Genomic DNA, 23822 nt, shown 5'->3' on the forward strand with positions numbered 1-23822 from the left:
CCCAGAGCAAATCTTTCTCACAGCCTGTTTCTTGAAGCTAGATATGGTTTTTATATTTTTAAATCTTTATGAATAAGAAAAGAAGGAGAAATAGGAGAAGATTTGCTATACAACATAGTGCCTATAAATAATACTGGTATTGTGCACCTGAATATTTAAGACTGTAGACTTATGTTAAGTCTCCAAACAATGATGTAATCTTTCGTTGAATTTAAAATATATATAATTAAAATTCATAACTACAATAAACAAATCAAGAATGCAGGTATAGCCTTCAGAGTAAGCACTAATAGAATGTATGACATACACACATATGTATACACACAGACACACACATAAAGGGGCATAGGGAAACTTTTGGAGGTGATGCACGTGTTTATTACCTTGATTTTGATGATGGTATCACAGTTGTGTGCCTACGTCCAAATGCTTCAAGTTGTACACATTTAGCATGTGCATTTTTTATACAGTTATACCCCAATAAAGCTGATAAAGGTACATCAGGGAGTTTATTAATAAAATATTGAGTTATTTGCATTTTTAATATTTATGGTGTTCATCAACTTTTATAATTAGTAACTGAGGAAGATATTTTTACTCATTCTAAATAAATATTTACTTTTGTTCCTAATTTTGGGTTTCTTGTTTTGCATTTTTAAAAAAGTTCCTCCCAATTGTCAAAGTTTCTGGGCCCACAAAATCTGGACCTGCTCCTAATTTTTTGCCACATATCTGAGTCTGGGTATTTTCTTCGTGGCTTTTAGGGGGCTTTGGGGTTCTACTGCCATGCCTGTGATTCCTAGTATTTGGAAGGTAACTAGAGGTTGCAGACCAGAAGGAACAGAAAGCCACCTGACCTAAGCTCTAGCTGTGGTAGAAAAAGGTGTGTAGGCCTGCTATGGTGACATAGGGCTAGTTACTTTACCTGTCCCTTTGCTCTACACAACTGATACTATGCATAGTTCCTTCTACCTCAATCCAGGCCCTGTTACCTCTGTATTGTATCACCAAATTGTAATTTGAAAAAAAAAAAAAAAAAACATAATAAAAAGGGCTCAAATATGCCAAGATTTTGTTTTATTTTATTATTATCTTTTTGAGACAGGATCTCACTCTGTTACCCAGGCTGGGGTGCAGTGGTGCATTCACGGGTCACTGCTGCCTGGACCTCCAGGGCTCAAGCAAACTTTCTGCCTCAGCCTCCCAAGTGGCTAGAACTACAGGCCACAGTGCCTGGCTAATTTTTACAATTGTTCTTGTGGAGAGAGGGTCTCACATGTTGCTCAGGCTGATCTCAAACTCCTGGGCTCAAGCGATCCTCCTGCCTTGGCCTCTCAGGCATGAATCACTGCACTTGGCCTCCATGATGTTAAAATGAGATATTTGTGATATACAGCATGCTGAACAATCTCTAACATGATAATTAGAATAACCTTCAAATATGTAAATTCTAACCATACCTTAGAGCACATTTTAAAATTCCCTGTCTTCTATTATATTACTTGCTCCCAAATATTCAAAATTATTAATTCAATTGATTGATTCTGAGAAGACGGTAGGGTGATGGCTTAGTTTTTCAATCTCTCTAAATCTCCACACAAAAATAGAGGGAACAGTAAAGAAACAAAAATCTGGGCATCTGTTAGGATTTAGTATATATTTTTTACTATTTACCTATGATATGCTCTATTTCATGTGAATATAGTTTGTTTTACTACTATAATTCCTTATAACCAAGACTAATATAATAGATTTTCTGTATTCTCCAGTAGATCTAAGTGAGTTTCCACTTCATATTGAATCATCACTAAGTAAACCTATTTATATTCCTGAGGAAATTTATATTTGAAAACAACTGGGAAAGCATGCCCTGAAGTAGGTGGTAATGATAAAAGTTAATTTTGATGGAGTGGCGTTTTCAAATGAGTCAAATGTGGCCAGTAGCTCCTCATCTATAAAAAATACAAAAGTAAATTCAGCCCTAATTTGGTGAATCAATCACTTTTTCATTTCATTGACTCTTGAACCAAGGGATTATGTTCACTCTTGAATATAAAACCTCATTCATTAAAAGACAGCCTTTGACCAAACCAATTCCATTTATACAAATGCAATTAATTTAAAGGAGCTGAGTGCTCCTTTGCACAATGCTTTGCAGCAGTAGTATGCTCATCAAATCCAATGTGGTTGTTTACAGTTATTATAGAAACATTATCTCCAATGAGCCAAAACTACTTCTAGGAAATGTAGTAGTTATATTTATCTCCAAAATGTTTTCTTTCTCAAAATTATTTTATCTGTAAATGATAAAACAGCAAGATTTATCAGTTTTTACTTCTATAAGTTACAAATACTGAAATGTCCCACATAAACCTTGTTCAGTTATGAACACATTTATGAACCATAAGTTATGGTGTCTTCAAACCATTTGCATTTTTGGAGCAATAATTTTTAAATGTTATTTCCTCATACAATTCATGACAGATGATGTTCAAATATGGATGCACTCCTTCTCATGCATACAATTATATATTTATGAAACCTAATATTTACAGGGACATAAAGTACTGCAGTAATTCATGCATACTGCTTTTATTAATGACAGGTGGTTCCCAGATGGGACCATCAACTGCCGGTACAAGGCACAGTGTCCTGGCCATAATCCAACTCTATCTCCCCAACTCAGGAAAATCTACCAAAACACAATAATATTAGTATGACAATAACCATGTTCTACTCTGCAAAAATGTTATGAGTTAAAATTTTACTTTAATTATTTGTGGAAATAGTCACTTGCAGTACTTTGGATTAGTATGTCATGAACCAGAGATTAAGAATTACAGTTTGAGGTTATAATCAGATCTCTCTATTCAATTTCCTGCCGTAAACTTTTCATTTAAAAACAAGTCAGGATTCAATCTATGTTTGCTATATAAAGGTATTAAGTATATGAGGAAAATAAGTGTATATATATTAATATTGCAATTATATGTCTTTGGAGCTCAGAGAGATTAAATTATCAAGCCTGTGCTCAGCCAGGATTAGAAACAATTCTTTTTAATTCCAATTACTTTAAATTTTACTAAAACCAATTGACTAAATCCAAAAGTAAAAAAAAGTACTGAATTTTGCAAGAAATGAAATTTTATAAACATTTTTAGAAAACATTATTTCACACATACTAAAAAGTTGCAAAAATTATACAAAGAACTTTAGGAGGCCAAGGCGGGTGGTTCACTTGAGCCCAGGAGTTCAAGATCAGCCTGGGCAACATGGTGAAACCCCATCTCTACTAAAAATACAACAATTAGCCGGGCATGGTGGCTTGTGCCTGTAATCCCAGCTACTCAGGAGGCTGAAGCAGGAGAATTGCTTGAGCATGGGAGGCAGAGGTTGCAGTGAGCCGAGATCACGCCACCGCCCTCCAGCCTGGGTGACACAGCGAGACTCCATCTCAAAAAAAAAAAAAAAAAAAAAAAAAATTATACAAAGAATCTCTGTCAACACTTTGCTAAAGGCCTCAAATGTTAACATTTCACATTTTCTTTACTCTCTCTCTCCATAGATAGAGATATGTTATATATAAAAAATATCTATATTGTATTTATATACATATGTATATATAAATTTGTTATATTAACACATACATATGTTATATATATAACAAATTTATACATACACATACTTATGTGTGTGTATATACATATACATATATATATATATATATATATATTCTGAGTCATTTAGGAGTAAATTATGGAGATATATCCCTTTATTCCTAAATTATTCAGTTTGTATTTCCTGGAAAACAAATTCTCTTATATAAACACCTGACAGTGATTAAAACTAGGAAATTAACTTTGATATAATGCTATCATCTCATGTACAGACTTTATTCAAATTTCACCAACTTCCCATTAATATTCTTTAAAGAAAGGGCAAAAAATAGTTTCTTCTGCAAAATCTAATATAAGGTTCTTTTTTTATTTAGTTATTGTGCACCTTTGGTCTCTTTTGACCTGGAACTGTCTTTTATGACCTTCACATTTTGAAGAGCACAGATCACTTATTGCAAAGAATATTGTTCATTTTGTTTTTATCTGATGTTTCCTCAGAGTTAGATTTCAGTTATGGGTTTTGTGCAGAGTAGCACAAAAGTGATGTTGTGTACTTAGCGCCTGATATGAGAATGAACATTATAGTACACAATTGTTCCATCTTGATCCCTTGGTTAAGATGCTGTCTGCTAGGTTCCTCCATTGTAGAGTCACCATCTTCACTTTGTCACTAATAAGTATTTTATGAAGGAGATGCTTTGAGGTTATATAAATATTATCTTTCTCATCAATTTGCATCCATTAGTTTTTAGCTTTCATGGATGTTTCTTGCCAGAAATAATTATTATGGTGTTTGCCAAATGTTGATCTTGTATCTCATTTTTCTTTTAAAATGTATTAGCTGTCATTGTCCTATAAATAATGCCTTCATTTATCCATTTATCATTTTTTATTTCAGTGGGTTATAATTCTTTACTGACATTTTTATCCTCAGAGTTATCCTATATTTGGCCAGTGGGATGCCTTTCAAACAGACTCCTATGTCCTTTTCACATGGTCCCATCATTCTTTGAGCACGTTCTTACTTTCTGACACAGAAAGCTTCTCCAGGTTCATCTTGTATTTTTTCATTCCATGCCCGAGAATTAGCCAGTTCTCCAGGGAGCCCTGGATCTTTTTAGAGACGAAAGGTATTTATAAACAAAGAGCTAAGGGCTATACGAACCCTGTAGCAATCTACTTTGTAAAAACATTTATTTATACATACACACCAATATCTGTCTATACATTAATCTAATATCTATCATTTATCTTTATAACTATGAGCTCATCCCCATCCCTCCAATTCTAACAAAATACCATATGCCATTCTAGTGTCTTTCAGACTTGGAATTTGATTTTGGGTTATTTTAACGAGTTAGCCTGCCACGGTTTCATGGATGCTAATAGAAGATACAAGACTTCTGAGTCAGAGACAAAGGACATTTTACTCACAGCATAGCAAGCAACATGATTTGCGTGGGATCCTCTTGCTCTCAAGTCCCATGGGGATGATGTGCGGGCCGCAGATGGGAACTGGATACACAGTGGATTTGCAGCATGGCTGAAGAACTTATTGGTTTGTAGCAAAATAAGCAAACCTGTTTTTTTGTCTTGAAGTCATGACTTCATCTCTCAAAACTGCTTGCACATCCAACGCTGAGAAACGGCCTGGATAAAAAGTGGCGAGGGTGTTGCATTCCTGGCACACCCAGCAATGATGCACAGGGATGCCCAGAGCCCTTCGTGGATTGCTGCTCCAAACGCTTACCCTTCCCATTTTGTGATACTCTTTTCTGATGATAGCAAACCTGACTTCTGCTACGCTTCATTCATTTATGTATCTGCTCAATCCTACAGTATGCACTAAGAAGTTTCAGAATTTCTAAACTATACCTCTGAAACACTAACCTACCAACTACTAACTTGTTTGCCTTTTTTTTTTTTAGCCAGAAAGTATATAGTCAAAATACCAAATTCAACAAGTAATTGGGTTAGTTCCTTATTTCTCAGTTGAGTGTATTATGTTATTCATTTCCTTCTGTTTGTATTCTATGGTACCCCTCCCTTTTTATTTATTTTATTTGCTTTTAAAGATTAAAAAAAAACATGTTCTTTCCCTGAAAATTTCAAAAAAAAAAGAAAAAGAAAAAGAAAAACATAGCATGTTCTAACAGACACGGGCCGATTTGAGGGTGAATGGTGGCAGAAGGGAGATGATCAGGAAAAATACTTATCAAGTATGGTGTTGATTACCTGGGTGATGAAATAATCCATACACCAAACTTCTGTGCCACATAATTTGCTTATATGACAAACCTGCGCATGTACTCCTGAACCTAAAATAAAAGTTAGAATTAATTAATTAATTAATAAAATAGCATATTCTAAAAATCAAATCCATACCAAACATATACTAGGAAAAATGTCACTCCATTGTTACCCTATCCCTATCCCTTCTCCCCATAATTTCTATCTCATTTCAAACCACCCTGGTGAAAGACAAGTTTCTCATTTTATTTCTTCTTCTCAAGTTCACCAGCTTTTCATTGTCGATGTTCTGAATCACATAACTTTTGGATAAGAAATTACTTTCTAGACAACCAATCATATTTTTACAAAAGATTATACTCTCTTTAGCTATTCATAACCAATTGAAAATGAAAGAAATCAACCTCAAACAATCTTGTCCCTCTTGAAAATAGGAAATCAAATCAAATTAGAACTGTTTTCTAACGCCCGCTATGTTGGAAAGCTCTTGGTAAGGATACACAAATCTTCCTAGTTTATTAGGAATAAATTTGGGAATTAAGCATCTATTCTACCTTTCTTGTACAAAGTGCATTTGTGAGTAATCAGACAGTTGATAAAAGAACCTTCTTTCTGAAATAATTCTAAACAAATTCAGAAAGAATTTAAAATACATGTAATATTTTTCCTAATAAAATCATAGAACTAGGTAACATTCATCAGTTTTAAAATCCTTAGGTAAAGGCCAATAGGAAACCTTACAATGGATGGATCAGGTTGATCACACATGAATTCACAGATCAATCTTAATATCAAGTAAAAGGGATTGAAACAAGACGTCATGTACCATCTGATACAGAGCAATAGAAAGCACTCACAACCACCTATGAAATGTTCTTGTCAAAAGGAATTTAGTTAAGCATCTAGATCTGACTTTCAGTTCATAGGACATTCATAGAGTAAATGAGCATGTTTAAAAAATACCATGATGCTGCTATTCAGATTGTGGGAAATTCCAACAAACAAACAGCAAGAAAAAATGAAGGAGAAAAACTGTAATATATCAACAGAGGTTAAGAGGCATATTACACAAAGGCAATGTGTAGACTTTGTATCTTCATTTGAATAAGCCAACTGAAACAATGCATTTACAATAGAACCAGCAAAATTGGAACACTATTTAGATACAATTTTATGCTCTGGAATTATTGTTTTTAGGTGTGATAATGACATTCTCCTCATATTTTTTTAAAGTTCCTGCCCTTTAAAGATACACTGTTAGGTATTTACAGATGAAATGATATCATATCTAGGAATTCAATTAAACTATGCCAATGGGGGTGATTAGGCAGAAATATGAATTAAACTACATTTTTATGTTTGAAGTTTTTCACAATAAAAACATGTTTTTAAAAACCATTTTTTAGCTTTTTTCCTTAGGGACATTAAAAATTTTAAATAGAAATTTGGACATTTGTAAAACTAAGTTTTAAAGACTACAGCTATTAAATAAAATAGTTGCTTTGCTAAACTTTATCAAGCTAAAAAGGCTCTAATATTTATGAAGACCAGCTTCGTTTTACTTGAGTCACCTCCTTATTTTTATGACTTGATGTATCATTTGTTTTTGGATCCTGCAGTCTGAGTATAGCAAGAGAGTGCCGGAAACATGGAGAGCCAGAACTAACTGATATGGGCTGATTTTGAAAATACTATTACTTGTTTGAAGTTGAGATTACCTCAGACCAATTTTCTCAAGCAGCTAGTGTCTATGTTTTCTAGAGTTAAATTTATTTCATATTGCAAGTATTTTAACCTGGGCATGGTGGCTCACGCCTCTAATCCCAGCACTTTGGGAGGCCGAGGCAGGCAGATTGCTTGAGCTCAGGAGTTTGAGACCAGCCTGAGCAACATGGTGAAACCATATCTCCACAAAAAACACAAAAATTAGCTGGGCATGGTGGCCTGTGTACTTGTAGTTCAGCTACTTGGGAGGCTGTGGTGGGAGATCACTTGAGCCTGGGAGGCAGAGGTTGCAGTGGGCTGAGATCGTGCCACTGCACTCCAGCCTGAGTGACAGAGAGAGACCCTGGCTTAAAAAAGCCAAAACAAAAACCAAAGTATTCTAAAATTCAAGGTGTAAAATGTTGATTCATATTAAATTTTAAATAACATTTTATTAAAAGGTCAAATAGTAGTAATCTGGCAAATTATGTGTGTGTGTGTGTTTGTATGTGTGTGTGAATATATATATAGAGAGAGACATAGCTTACTCTATTACTGTTTTATTTTATCTTCAATTGACGAATGATTGTGAGAGGTGACAGAGTGCTGGCAGTCCTCAGAGCCCTCGCTTGCTCTCGGCACCTCCCCTGCTTGGGCTCCCACTTTGGCGGCATTTGAGGAGCCCTTCAGCCCTCCCACTGCACTGTGGGAGCCACTTTCTGGGCTGGCCAAGGCTGGAGCCCACTCCCTCAGCTTGCAGGGAGGTGTGGAGGGAGAGGCGCGAGCTGGAACTGGGGCTGCGTGCGGCGCTTGCGGGCCAGCTGGAGTTCCGGGTGGGCGTGGGCTTGGCGGGCCCCGCACTCGGAGCAGCCGGCCAGTCCTGCCGGCCCCGGGCAATGAGGGACTTAGCACCCGGGCCAGCGGCTGTGGAGGGTGTACTGGGTCCCCCAACAGTGCCAGCCCACCGGCGCTGCGCTCGATTTCTCACCGAGCCTTAGCTGCCTTCCCGCGGGGCATGGCTCGGGACCTGCAGCTCGCCATGCCTGAGCCTCCCACCCACTCCATGGGCTCCTGTGCGGCCCGAGCCTCCCAGACGAGCACCACCCCCTGCTCCAGGGCGCCCAGTCCCATCGACCACCTAAGGGCTGAGGAATGCAAGCGCACGGCGCAGGACTGGCAGGCAGCTCCACCTGCAGCCCCGGTGCGGGATCCACTAGGTGAAGCCACCTGGGCTCCTGAGTCTGGTGAGGACGTGGAGAGTCTTTATATCTAGCTCAGGGATTGTAAATACACCAATCAGTACCCTGTGTTTAGCTCAAGGTTTGTGAGTGCACCAATCGACACTCTGTGTCTAGCTGCTCTGGTGGGGCCTTGGAGAACCTGTGTGTGGAAACTCTGTATCTAACTATCTGTTGGGGACTTGGAGAACCTTTATGTCTAGCTCAAGGATTGTAAATACACCAATCGGCACTCTGTATCTAGCTTAAGGTTTGTAAACACACCAATCAGCACCCTGTGTTTAGCTCAAGGTTTGTGAATGCACCAATCGACACTCTGTATCTAGCTGCTCTGGTGGGGCCTTGGAGAACCTGTGTGTGGAAACTCTGTATGGAACTAATCTGATAGGGACATGGAGAACCTTTGTATCTAGCTCAGGGATTGTAAACGCACCAATCAGTGCCCTGACAAAACAGGCCACTCGGCTCTACCAATCAGCATGATGTGGGTGGGGCCAGATAAGAGAATAAAAGCAGGCTGCCCCAACCAGCATTGGCAACCCGCTCGGGTCCCCTTCCACACTGTGGAAGCTTTGTTCTTTTGCTCTTTGCAATAAATCTTGCTACTGCTCACTCTTTGGGTCCACGCTGCTTTTATGAGCGGTAACACTCACTGCGAAGGTCTGCAGCTTGACTCCTGAGCCAGCGAGACCACGAACCCACCAGAAGGAAGAAACTCCGAACACATCTGAACATCAGAAGGGACAGACTCCAGATGCGCCACCTTAAGAGCTGTAACACTCACCGCGAGGGTCCGCGGCTTCATTCTTGAAGTCAGTGAGACCAATAACCCACCAATTCCGGACATAATTGTATGTATTTATGGGGTACAGTGTGATGTTTTGATACATGTATACAGTTTGTAATGATTAAATCAGGGTGGTTAGCATATTTGTCTACTGTATTAGTCTGTTTTCACACTGCTATAAAGATACTACCTGAGACTGGGTAATTTATAAAGGAAAGAGATTTAATTGTCTCACAGTTCCACATGGCTAAGGAGGCCTCAGGAAACTTACAATCATGGCGGAAGGCGAAGGGAAAGCAAGCACCTTCCTCACAGGCAGCAGGAGAGAGAAAAAGCAAGCGAACGAGGAAGTGTCACTTTTTTTTTTTTTTTTTTTGAGATGGAGTTTCACTCTTGTTGCCCAGGCTGGAGTGCAACGGCGCCATCTCGGCTCACTGCAACCTCCGCCTCCTGGGTTCAAGAAATTCTCCTGCCTCAGCCTCCCAAGTAACTAGATTACAGGCACCCGCTACCACACCCGGCTAATTTTTTGAATTTTTAGTAGAGACAGGATTTCACCATGTTGCCCAGGCTGGTCTTGAACTCCTGATCTCAGGTGATCCAGCCGCCTCAGCCTCCCAAAATGCTGGGATTACAGGCATGAACCACCACGCCCAGCCAATGCCACACTTTTAAAACCATTAGATCTTGTGAGAACTCCCTCACTATCATGAGAACAGCATGGCAGAATCTGCCCCCGTGATCCAATTGCCTCCCTCCCTCGACAGGTGGGGATTACAGGTTCCTTCCTTGACTCGCGGGGATTACAATTCGAGATGAGATTTGGGTGAGGACAAGGAAATATATTAATATATATTAATATAAAGAATATAAAATTATTCAAAGAATAATTTGAAATAAAAGAACTTGGTTATAAAAATGAACAGATCTATAAAAGAGACACTGTAATAGATAAAAGTTCTTCATCTCATCTACATTTTACACTTACTCAGTACCATCTCCTCATACCCCTTCCATATGGTACCTCTCCTAATGTAACCATAGTACTAAAATATAGAGGACTCTAGAATTGTAAATCCTCACGGTAGCAATTCACACCCCTTGGCTTGACAAGGCTATTCTTTTTAGCCCTCCCCAGGGGGTATTCTCTAAACATAAAGACTCATTCCTGTAAGGAATGCCTCTTCCCACAGGTCTCTGCTTTGTACTCTAATACTGGGGGACTTCAATCTACTTAAGGGAGAATGTCAACTCCTAATTGAGTGGAAGATATTTCTAGAAGTCTCATAGAAAATGAGTTCTTAGTAAACAGATACCATTGCCAAACATGCATCTCCAGAGATCTCTGAAGTAGAGATTTTGATAGAGGCCTTAAAAATTCGTTCTTTGGGGAGGTAAGTGATATTTTTGATACCCAATAGATTCTTTTTATAGTTTGGTTTCAACTATGAAAAGTTATTTCAGGGTCACAGCAGACTTAATTGAAGATAATAAGGGATGTTTATAATTAGATGAAAGGCCCCTGACTTCATTGGGTGCAACCTTTGTTAAACAGCAGTTTCCTGTGTACAAATAGCTTGGAAATTGGAAATTATTCAGGAAATTGCTCAAAAATTACAGAATGGCTTAACATTTTAATGTCAAGTTTAAACAGTTGTACTGGAGACATACAAAACTCTGAGGTCAATTCTGAGTTGCACAATTGAGTTATATACCTCAGCATCTAGAATCTATTCTACTACAGGAGGTTGAAAGTTTAATCATAAAGATTAGGAAGAAAGATTAAAGAATAATTTGAAATAAAAGAACTTGGTTATAAAAATGAACAGATCTATAAAAGAGACACTGTAGTAGATAAAAGTTCTTCAAATCCTATATTTCAGAGGCAAAAATGGCCTGTAACTGTTGAGTGAAGACAGGATTATCAGAAATTCTGGAAAGATTTGAGTCAACATTACTGAATTAGGCATGGTAAATCTCAAGTGAGCTCTGGACCATGGACAACTTTAAATGGCAGACACAAACATGACTTTAATCGCTCAATTATAAAGCAAATATTTTTTCTAATTTTAGACAGGTAACATCTATTTGTTTTAATATAAGTATACTTATTTCAAGGGAAATAACTCATATGTGAATTCTGACATACATTTTCAAACATAAAGAATATAAAAGACAAGCAGAGAAAACCAGAAATCCTAGTTCAAGAACTAAGATGCTCCTGTGCTGTAAACTATAAAATTAATGTTTCAGAAAGCTCATTTATACCCTCTTTCCATAAAAAAATTAAGCTACTTTTCAGCTTCTATATAAAATAGTGGATGTTCAGTTTTAGAATTACACCTGGTATTAGGAGATAAATGGAAAGAAATATAAATCTGGCTTTGGCTCAGGGTTTATTCCCAACATCTTTTACATCTTCATCTTGTGTCTTTTTTATCTTCAGCTTATGGGAGGAGAGTAAAAAATTCTCAGAAAAAAATAAAAAGGTTTGTTAATTTCTCCAAAACATATTGGACTATAGTAGCTTTAACAGCATGGATAATCTTGCAAATATTCCTAACATCATTCTTTGCATGACCTAATCAAAGAACTGCTGACATTTTGAGACAAATAATACTGAGACTAGCTTCCAAATTTACTTGTTCTCATATTTTCAGAATTCCAATGGATATGTTTTTGTGTCTGGGGGTATTACTGAAATGCTTTCATTATCTGTAACCCAACTGTCTTTTAGGTGGGGTGGGTTCTGCCAAATGAAAATCATTGATGAATCTGATTATGCAAATTTTAGGTGTAGAAATGAGAGAGATGTAAATAGCTACCAAAGGAGAATTGACAAGTCTGAGCAGAAGAAGCACAGATATCAAAAGGCAAAGGAGGAGGAAGACTTGGTGAGATAGTAAAAGTCCACACACTCAAATGAGAATCTCTTTCTAAACCTTCAACAAGGATTATTAATCTCACAAAAGTATATATTGATTTTTTACAGGAAAAACAAAAGGTAGCGACTAAGTTGTCTGAGTCTGATCTGACATGAACAAAACAAACCAAGGTATGAGGGATCTTCAAAAAGTTCATGGAAAAATGAAATTAAACAAAAAATAAGAAATATCAACTTTATTTTTCAATCTAAGCTCCATCACGTTCAAGACACTTTTGTAAGCAATGACACCGACATTTCGTCCATCCCTAAAGAAGTGAGGATCCTGGGAATTTAACCACATCAATGCAGCCTTTTTTACACTATTAACTGAAGAAAAATGGATGCCCTTTACAGATTTTTTAAATTAGGGGGAAAAAAAAGTTGCAGCCAAATCAGGACTATAAGGTGGATGCCTATTTAACATCGAAACTCTCAAACTTGCCCTTGTTTGATGAGAGCACTGAGCAGGAGCATTGTTGTTGTAGAGGACTCTCTCATGAAGTTTCCCAGGCATTTTTCTGCTAAAGCTTTGACTTTCTCAAAACACTCTCATAATGAGCAAGACATTATTGTTCTTTGGCCCTCCAGAATATTCCGAAGCAAAATGCCTTGAGTATCCCAAAACACCGTTGCCACGACCTTTGCTCTTGACCAGTCCATTTTTGCTTCGATTGGGCCCTTTCCACCTCTCAGTAGCCATTGCTTTGATTGTGTTTTGTATTTAGGATCATACTGGTAAGGTCATGTTTCATCTCCTGTTAACAATTCGAAGAAATGCTTCAGAATCTTGATCTGCTTGTTTCAAAATTCCAGTGAAAGCTCTGCTCTTGTCTGCAGCTGATCTGGGCACAATGGTTTTGATACTCACTGACTGAAAAGTTTGCTCACTTTTAATTTTTCAGCCAGAATTGTGTAAGCTGAACCAATTGAGATGTCTAGGGTGTTGGCTATTGTTTCTATTGTTAACAATTGGTCCTCTTCAATTAGGGCACAAATTTTTTTTCCTTGCAAATTGTTGTGGGTGGTCTGCTGCTGCACGCTTCATCTTCAACATCACTATTCCCTTCTTAAAACAAGCAGTCTATTTGTAAATTGCTGGTTTCTTTGGGGCTTTGTCCCCAGAAACTTTTCAAAAAGCATCAGTGATTTCACTGTTCTTCCACCCAAGCTTTACCATCAATAGATGTTTGTTCTTAATTTTAGCAGAACTCATGTTGCTCTGATAGAGACTCTTTGTAAACTAATGTCTTATCCTTCTTAGTATCTCAAACTATATCCTGTTCAGATACATTATAACAGGTTAGTATGAGTTTATTTTGGTGCAAAAAAGTTTTGAAGTCCATGCACAGTTTTTTTCTTAATAAACATCTTCCGTGAATCTTTGAAGACTCACATATATGAGTTAAGGAGCCTGGCACAGAAGAGTGGGAGAACACCAAGATATTAGCAGATATGATAGAAGGGCATTGAACTTCCAAGGGAAATCTGAAGATATCTAAGTTTCAGAGAGTAAAGAGGGCTCCAAATGACTTTTGAGTTACAAAACATTTGGAGATATGTATGCAACTTTATGCTTCAAAAAAATTAAAATCACTTCTAGTTTATTTGTAGGACATATGGAAGAAAAGCAGAGCTGAAAATTTATAACTAATTTTTTCACCTTGTTCTGATAACTTCTAGAATCACTGTGAGGAAGTACAGTTCTCACTATTTTTCTTCCTTAGAACTATAGACTTAAAGGAATATTTTACCTGTAATGACAATATATGCCTAACAAGTGCGATCTTTTCTCCAAAAATAAAGTTGGTGTAGATCACATAGAACCTGAAAATATAAAGAAAGTAAACAGATATCTATGGAAATGTCAACTCTTATTTTATTTTAGTTTAGTTTAGTTTGGTTTTGATTTTGCTTCAAAGAATTGCCTAAAGGAACACGTTTACATGTAACACCGAAGTCAGTTTCGGTTACATGTAACACCGAAGGCAGAGTAAACTAAATGTTTAGCAAACAAAAGAACTTCTGAGGGTAGAAAAATAAAAAGAATAATATTATAAGAATGCCTTTCTTCTATATATAGGAAATATTTTTCTTGTCCAGTTTTTAAAAAGCAGAGGGAAGACTACATCAGGAGAGCAGATCAGCTCTAAGAGTACTTAGCCCTTCCTGCAGAAATCTTCACCCTCTCAGCTCTTATGGCTCTGAAGACCAACCCTTCCATTCTTGCCTCAGGAACCTAAGGGTTTTGGGGTTTAGCAGATTTTTTTATGTCAGTCTCGAAAGGGAGGAATCAGATTTTCAAAGTTATCACATATTATTTTAAATATCCAATTACAACAAACAATGTATGAGGCATGTGCTGGGTGAGGAGTCAGAGCCGCAGCAACGTGAAGTGATCAGCTTACAGGTAGTAAGAAGAATTTACTGACAATAGTATAGGTTGGAAATCCTTTTATTAGATAGGATTGAAGTCTATTATTAGATAGAAAGAATGCTGCAGAAGAGTGCAGTGGGAAGCCTCAGCAAGAGAGGACTGACTGAACATGCCATGGTGGATTTTCCCTTATGGGTATTTATGGACCTTAAAGCAGGAGCTTAAGGATAATTTGAACCATATAGGCCATGTAGGTCATGATAAATGATTACATTTATAGACATTTTCGTGCCTTAATATTAGCAAGCGTTGCAGAATGAGTTTCAATATGAATGCATTCCAGAGATGTATAGACATTCTAGTTATTTATAAATTTTAGGAAAGAAGCCTAGTAGCAGATGCTGGCTTTGGATAATAGGGAAGTCTAATTACTTATAAATTCCTCAGATAAGGAATTTTGCCTCTGGACGGTCTGCTTGATGGCCACCAAGTGATCTTGGCTCTCCTCTGTATGTAAAGAAACTAGAAACTATGGTTCATACGTAGGAAAAAAACGTGGCCATTAGAAACTGTCTCTAAGGAAGTCCAGACAATGATTTCCTAGGTGAAGTCTTTGAATCAGCTATTGCAAATATGTTCAAAGAAGTAAAGTAAACCATGTCTTAATAACTAAAGGAAAGCATGAGAGTGATATCTCACCAAATAGAGAACACCAGTACAGAGTCAGAAACTATAAAAAAGAACTAAATAAAAATTTTGAAGTTAAAAAGTAAAATAATTCAAATGAAAATTTCACCAGGTAGTCTCAACAGCCTATTTGAACTGGCGGAATAAACCATTGGTAAATTCAAATATAGGCAGTTCAAATTATCTAGCCTTAGAAACAGAAATAAAAACTAAAGGAAAGGAAATGAATATAGCCTCAGAGACCTGTGGGACATCATCAAGTGTATCAATATACAAATAATGGAAGTCCTAGAGGGAGAGGAAAGAAAGAACAAATAACATATTTGAAGAAATAATGGCCAAAAGCTTCCCAAGATTTATGAAAAGATTCATTTATATGTGTAAGAAGCTTCGTAAATTCCACATAGGATAAACTCACAGAGATCTATACATCATAATCTAAATGAGACCGTGAAAGCTGTGAGAGAGAAGCAATCTATCAGGTACAAGGGATCCATAAGATCAGCAGCTGATTTCCCAGCAGAAAACATGGAGGCCAGAAGGCAGTGAGATTACATATTCAAAGCGCAGGAAGGGAGAAAGGTAGGCTGTCATTATCTTATATTTCTCTGAGTCCCAGAACTGCCATCATCTTGGTGAGGATTCTTTGCCTCATCCTTGATTCTTCAGTTCAGAAATCATTTTTATCTTTTTCCCCCACCCCCATCCATTTGCCTTAACTCTGATAGGGTAAAACTGGAAAAAATAAGGCAATGACTTCAAACAATTGGAATTAATGAGAGGCTCAAGTAATATGCACACATGCAAGAATAGTAGAACTAACTAAAAACAGAGAAAGTAAAAAGATTAGTGATGATGTTGCTGAAATATGAAAAGAGACAAGGTTCTGAGTCAGATGAATTTTTACATTTTGATTCTTCATTTCTGTTTTTCTCCCAAGGAGAAGTCCTATTACTCTCTCCTGAATTTTAAGAGATTAATAAAGATTCTAATGGATCCTGAAGTTCAGGATCAGCAGAAAGTTTCAAAGGGGATTTTCCAGGTGGGAAGAAAGTATGCAGAACAGAAAGAGATGGAACAGTCAAAAGACAAGTGTTGGTGAAGATGTGGAGAAACTGGAACCCTTGCACACTGCTGGTGGGAATGCAAAATAATGCAGTTGCTATAAAAAACACAGTATGGATATTCCTCAAAAAATTAAAAATAGAATGATTATATAATCCAGCAATCCCATTTCTGCATATTTATCTAAAAGATTGAAATTTAGATCTTTAAGAGATGTTAGCACTCATGTTTTATTGCAGGTCTATTCACAATAGCCAAGATGTGGAAACAACCTATTATGCCCATCAACAGATGACTGGATAAAAAAATTGTGGGATAATATACACAATGGAATACTACTCAACCTTTAAAAAAAAGGAAATTCTTCAATACACACAACACGGATGAATCCTGAGAACATGATGCTAAGTTAAATAAGCCAGTCACAGAAAGACAAATGCTGCTTGATTCCACTTGTATGAGGTATCTAAAATAGTGAAATTCATAGTATCAGAGTGCAATGATGGTTACTGGGAGCTGGGGATGGGGGAGAGGAAACGGTGAGTTAAAATTTCAGTCAAGCCAAATAAATAAACTCTAGAGATCTGCTGAACAACATTGTACCTGTATTCAACAATTATGTATTATGCACTTAAAATTTTAAGAAGGTGTAGTTTCTTACCACACTAAAAAAAAAAGAGAGAGAGAGAGATGAGACAACGAAGAGGAACTTTGCCTGCTTTAGTATTAAGCTAAAAGTCAATTCTACTCCAAAGACTCTTTAATCTATGTCACTAGGATGCATATCTCTGTACTAAATCCTTTTAGGGGAATTAAAGCAAATAGTGGCTCTTTCAGATGGCTGTTATCAAATATCTTTTATTATAAAGATAGAAATTTGAGTACCTAATTTGGGAACTTAAAATTTTCATAAAACTTTTCAATAATTTTTTACTAAATACATAGTTATGATTCTGTCCTCACCAAAAATAAGAATGCTCCTCAGGGCACTCAACGCAAGTATAAAAGATATCTATAAGTAAATAACTACCAAAAGATTACATTATAATTTTTTTTGAGATGGATTCTCATTCTGTTGCCCAGGCTGGAATGCAATGGTGCGACCTTGGCTCACTAGAACCTTCACCTCCCGACTCAAGAGAGCCTCCTGCCTCAGCCTCCAAGTTGCTGGGACTATAGATGCATGCCACCACACCTGGGCTAATTTTTGTATTTTTTGATAGAAAAGGGGTCTCACTATGTTGTCCAGGCTGGTCTTAAGCTCTTGACTTCAAGCAGTCCTCCTGCCTCAGCCTCCCTAAATGCTGGGATTACACAAATGAGCCACTGCGCCCTACTACAGTATAATTTTAATAAAGGATTAAACCTCATATAAACTTTATCATTTAGAGGATATTTACCTAAAATCAGTGCTTAAATATACTAAGAAAATGTAGCCTGAATACCATGATGGGGCAAAGAGAGTGAGTGAGTGATTGATTTTTCTTGAATTAGGACAATTCAAGTTTTTAAAAAATGTTACTCAACATCTGAGGCATTCAAAAAGATGCATAAATAACAATAAAATATATACCCATGATTCCCTCAACTTATAAAGCCTTTTATTTATTTTTTTAAATTTTTTTTATTATTATTATACTTTAAGTTTTAGGGTACATGTGCACAATGTGCAGGTTAGTTATATATGTATACATGTGCCATGCTAGTGCGCTGCACCCACTAACTCGTCATCTAGCATTAGGTATATCTCCCAATGCTATCCCTCCACCCTCCCCCCACCCCACAACAGTCCCCAGAGTGTGATGTTCCCCTTCCTGTGTCCATGTGTTCTCATTGTTCAGTTCCCACCTATGAGTGAGAATATGTGGTGTTTGGTTTTTTGTTCTTGCGATAGTTTACTGAGAATGATGATTTCCAGTTTCATCCATGTCCCTACAAACTACATGAACTCATCATTTTTATGGCTGCATAGTATTCCATGGTGTATATGTGCCACATTTTCTTAATCCAGTCTATCACTGTTGGACATTTGGGTTGGTTCCAAGTCTTTGCTATTGTGAATAGTGCCGCAATAAACATACGTGTGCATGTGTCTTTATAGCAGCATGATTTATAGTCCTTTGGGTATATACCCAGTAATGGGATGGCTGGGTCAAATGGTATTTCTAGTTCTAGATCCCTGAGGAATCGCCACACTGACTTCCACAATGGTTGAACTAGTTTACAGTCCCACCAACAGTGTAAAAAAAAAAATAAAGCCTTTTATTAACACTCCTCTGTGAAGCCTGCTATGCACCTATTCCTGCTATGAATCATTCTGTCACCAAAGGCAACCACTGTCCTGAATTCATTGTTTTTCATTCCTATATCTTTAATATTTAAGTTGTTTTCATGTTTTTAAATGGTATATAAATATTTTATACCATACATATTTTGGCAACTATTATTTTACTCTATGTTGGAGATATCCATGCATATAGGATAATGTAGCTCTAGTTCACGTTCCCTGCTACATAGTTCGGTTGAATGTACGTGTTCATTTATTCAGTCACCAATTATTCATTGAGTATCTATAATGCATTGTTTAGGTGCTAGGGATATATCACCCAGCTTTTCTAAATTTTACATTCTCGTTACAGTCTATGTGCCGGTGTCCCCACAAAATCCTAATCCCCAAGATGATGGTGTTTGACAGTAAGACTTTTGAGAGTTTCCTACCTAGGGTATTTCATGTATCAGCAGGTTGGTGAGGAGGAGTCATTTTATAGGTGTAGAGGGTCTTATTTAATACTCTGAAATCAAAAGAATAGTGGGTAGTTTATTTATTTGTTCACTTCTTTATTCACAGCTGTAATCCCAAGCCATCTCTAAGTATGTTCATTCTGGAGTCCAGACATTCTGAAAACCAAATGGAAGAAAAGGAGCCAAGGTGACTAAGAAGGATCAGCCAGAAAGGAATGAGGAAAAGCAGGAGTGCCCAGAACCTCAAAAGCTGAGAGAAAGTGAACTTCAAAGAACAGAAGTGCATCTGGGTAGATATCCTAAAGACTTGAAATCAGTATGTGGAAGAGGCATCTGCATTGCTATGTTCATTGCAGCATTATTCACAATAACCCAGATGTTGAATCAACCTAAGTGTCTATCCATAGATGAATGAATGAAGGAAATATGATCTGTATACATAATGAAATACTATTCAGCCATAAAAAAGAGTGAAATCCTGTCAGTTGCATCATGGAACTGAAGGACATAATGGAATACTATTTAGCCTGAAAACAGAATTCATACTCCAAGCCCCACAATACGCAATATACCTTTGTAACAAGCCTGTACATGTACCCCTGATTCTAAAATAAAACCTGAATAAGAAGAAGAAAATCCTGTCATTTTTTGACAACATGACTAAATGGCTGAACCTGGAGGACATTTTGATAAGTGAAATAAGCGAATCACAGAAAGACAAAAGCCATGTTTTCACTTATACGTGGAATTTGAAACAAACTCATAATAGCAGCAAGTAGAATGGTGGTTGCAGAGGCTGGGAGTGGAAGGCATGGGGAGGTGATCCAAGGCTAGAAAGTTGTGGTTAGACAGGAGGAATAGATGATGGGTATTTAAGGGGATGGATATGTTAATTAGCTTGATTCAATCATCCCATGCTATATACATACATCTTAACATCACTGTGTGACATATAATTATGCATGGTTAAAATGTGTCAAAAAATAAAATATAATAAGTCTGAAGCAAATCAAAAAAATTAAAAAGATGATATGGTCTATTTTATAGCTGTGCCATACTATCTTTAGCTAGTTCTCTATTGCCCCAATTTTACTATTTTAAATCAATCTGTGTATGAACAACAACAAAAGACAAAAGTGGAGAGTGGGGTCAATGGTGCTCAGAATCAAATAAAATGATGACAGTGTTCACTGAATTGAGCAACGTGGAAGTCATTCTTGACCTTAGAAAAAGCTTATACAGACATTTTTGGGCAGAAGGCAATTGGCAATGGATTAAGGTGAGTATGGGATATATTACAGAGGGCACTTTTACTGTGGGCTACTGTTCCCAGTGATTTAACTAACAGAAGAGGTTTATAATGGTAGGCAGATGTCACACCAAGTGTCAGGTTCTAGCCCAAGCTGAGGTCTGAGGGAAGTGGGTGGGTGAGTGGTGGGTAGCTGGAAAAACACTTGAGAAATCCTAGGCAACCATGGCATGGCTTTATTCTCTTTCTGGGTGCAAGCCGTATGTACAGCATCAGCAGGGTAGTTATGCCTTCTACAGACAACAGTGGCTCCAAGCCAAGCATGAGCTCACGTGAGTGTTCACCTAATGCACCTCACATGGCATGGTTACATAATGTTCAGGGTTGTGCGCCTGCGCTCCAAACCCTCTGAGTCATGCTGCATGGGAAGGCCACCTCGGCCTGCTCTTGACTAAAGCACAGCCATTTCCCTTACAGCAGAGTGCTTCCTGCTACCCAAACACAGACCCAGACCAGGTTTGGTGACCTTCTCATGTTTGCATACAGGAAAAAAAAAGCCATTTGTTTCTTGGTTTTATATATTTAAAAGATTTTCAGCACAAAACTTGCTTTTACTTGAATTTCGAATTTCTTCATTGTAAATATTTTAGGCAGTGAAGAGTTATTTTCTATACCTTTTTGTTATAAAGGATTTTGTAATTGAACAAATTTTTCAACATGTAGCCTGATTAAAACATGGTAATTTTTCCCCTTTGTCTCATTCTCAAATATTAATTGATTTTAAAATGTTCCTAAAGAAAAAGCAGACTATTGTTTTAAGTGTATGCTATGTCATTGAGAATCAAGCAACAGGAGCACAACACAATGTGAGAATACAAAACATTTTATAAGATGAATTCCAAAGCAGCATAAAATAAAATTATCAGCGAGTAATGAAATAGAGAGAAATATGGATCTGTAGTTGACGTTCAGAGACTCAGAAATCTAATCATCACAATTGAAGTGAGAGAAATACATCTTAATGAGTCCTTCAACATCCCCTCAAGATTTCAGTATATAAATATTTAAAAGCAGGGGACTTAAGCAACTCTACAACAGTTTCGTTCCAGTCCAAAGTATTGAAAGAATCTAACTTGTTCTTTTTCTGCCTAAAGTATTGAGAGATACTAGCACAAGTCTATGATACAATCTAATTTCCTGTACATTTGTAATAGTTCATTAGACTGTGGAGGAACTAAAATTTCCTCTAGAATATAAACATGTAGGGCCTGTAATCTCAGCACTTTGGGAGGCCAAGGCAGGCAGATCACTTCAGGTCAGGAGTTCAAGACAAGCCTGGCCAACATGGTGAAACCTTGTCTCTACAAAAAATACAAAAATTAGCCGGGTGTGGTGGCACCTGACTATGATCCCAGCTACTTGGGAGGCTGAGGCAGGAGAATTACTTGAGCCTGGGAGTCAGAAGTTGCAGTGAGCCGAGATTGTGCCACTGCACCCCAACCTGGGTGACAGAGCAAAACTCTGTCTCAAAAAAAAAAAAAATATATATATATATATACACACACACACACACACACACTTAAAGAACATAAATGGTCTTAATATTTCTAGCATGTGCAAATTTTAGAAAGTCACATAGTAAACATATTATCATGAAACTTTATAGCTTTATTTTCTATGTAGAACGCCTCTCTTAAAGATTGTGATTTTTAAAAAAATTTCTATAGTCAGAACATCTTATTTTATTCATAATACATGACTAAGTTATTAGTCAAATATGTTTTGAAAATCATCCTAATTTCTTTTACTGTAGCTGTTAGATATCTTGGTGGAAACACATGGTTATGTTTTAACAGGCAGCTCCCACTGACATATTAACAATGAGGTTTAGTGAGCAGTGTGATGTAGGAAGAAGGTGCTGCTTTGATTCTGATTAGGAAAGTCAGGTGGGAGGATGAGAAACACTAGCTGATAAAACAAAGAACTTGAGCAGGATCAGGAACTTCGCCAAGGAATTAGCCTTTGCAAAGAGAGATGTCTACTTCTCTGAGAAGAAGAAAGGGAAGATGGGTTCACATCCACTCCTTTTGAGAAGGAAGGGAGACAGCTGAGGCAATTTACAGTAAATAATCTCAAACTTCATAAAATTTCAATAGGTCACTGGCAAAGAACAGAGGGATAGTGGTGGAGTAGAGGGGTGTGAACAACAGGAACGTTTAGAAAAGCTACTGTAGGTGGTGCAACAGATATGCTGCTGTAAAAAAAAAAATCTAGCAATAGTAAAGATACAGCTGAGCTTGCAAAGAATGGCTTCAATCATTCACTCTGCTGTTGTGACTTGAACCATCAGAACTTATGAATACATCTAAAGCATAAACAGAGACTCTAATGCTAGGTTAGGGACTAATTTGATGCTTACAATGGAATGGACAAAGACATGAGCTTTCAGTGGTGTTCAACACGTGTGAACAGCCACTGCAGGGACTTGGTGCACGTGTGTTTCATGGGTGAAGAACGAATGAATAAATGAATGTACATTTCCTTCCCTCTCAGTGTTCATTTTCCAGGTGTCTACTATAGCCTATCATTTGACTTTTTGTTGAGAATAGCTATGTAGAAAGATGTGCCAACATTTTGCAAAATTTGTGACTATCTGAGGAGAAATAGTCACTATTTCTTAATGAGAGAATTCTGGAAAGAGGTATGGTGACTGTAATTTTTGAAAATTACTAAAAGATTTATTGTGTTTAGAACTTCTCTCTTTCTGGACTCAATTTTCTTATCTAAGTACAAGAGGTAAGAATATTGATCATTGGTACTATTGCCCAGCACTAAACCATTTTACATACAAGATTTCATTTAATTTTTATAATAGTCCTAAAACATAGGCACTATATTCACCTCCATTGTTTAGATGAGAAAACTGAGGAATAAAGTAGCTCAATTTCACATCAAGAAAATGAAGGAGCTGGGTTTTAAACCTAGAATGCAAAGAGAGATGGGCCTGTAGGCCTACGAACTGTGCTAAATATATTTATAGTTATATACTTTAATAAATTTGGAATTTTGAATTTTAAGATTATTGGAGGACAAAACTATAGATGGTCATCAGGAAGAACTTATAAGAAAGTTTTCACTATCTGCCAAATTCAGAAAAGAGTAACTTTTCAAGGGGAAAAAAGA

General features: G+C 37.1%; 2 long non-coding RNA genes across 11 annotated transcripts in view; one reads left to right on the forward strand and one right to left on the reverse strand.

The window, feature by feature from the left end:
• The window catches only part of LINC02840 (long intergenic non-protein coding RNA 2840), a 121122-nt gene that overhangs the window by 71126 nt on the left and 26174 nt on the right, over nt 1-23822 (reverse strand). For 3 of the 10 annotated variants that reach the window (NR_183504.1, NR_183508.1, NR_183503.1), the window contains exon 2: nt 5853-5935. This is a non-coding gene — a long non-coding RNA (long intergenic non-protein coding RNA 2840). Of the gene's footprint in view, nt 1-3872; nt 5281-5852; nt 5936-23822 lie in introns of those variants that run through there. The other 7 variants (NR_183509.1, NR_183510.1, NR_183511.1 and 4 more) reach the window with 4 other exon arrangements.
• Nucleotides 12391-13900, forward strand: LOC124901440 (uncharacterized). The gene is made up of 2 exons (XR_007059822.1): nt 12391-12490; nt 12589-13900. It is a non-coding gene; the product is annotated as an uncharacterized LOC124901440 (long non-coding RNA).

This window comes from Homo sapiens, chromosome 6 (assembly GCF_000001405.40).
Source record: "Homo sapiens chromosome 6, GRCh38.p14 Primary Assembly".
NCBI classification, from domain to species: Eukaryota; Metazoa; Chordata; class Mammalia; order Primates; family Hominidae; genus Homo; species Homo sapiens.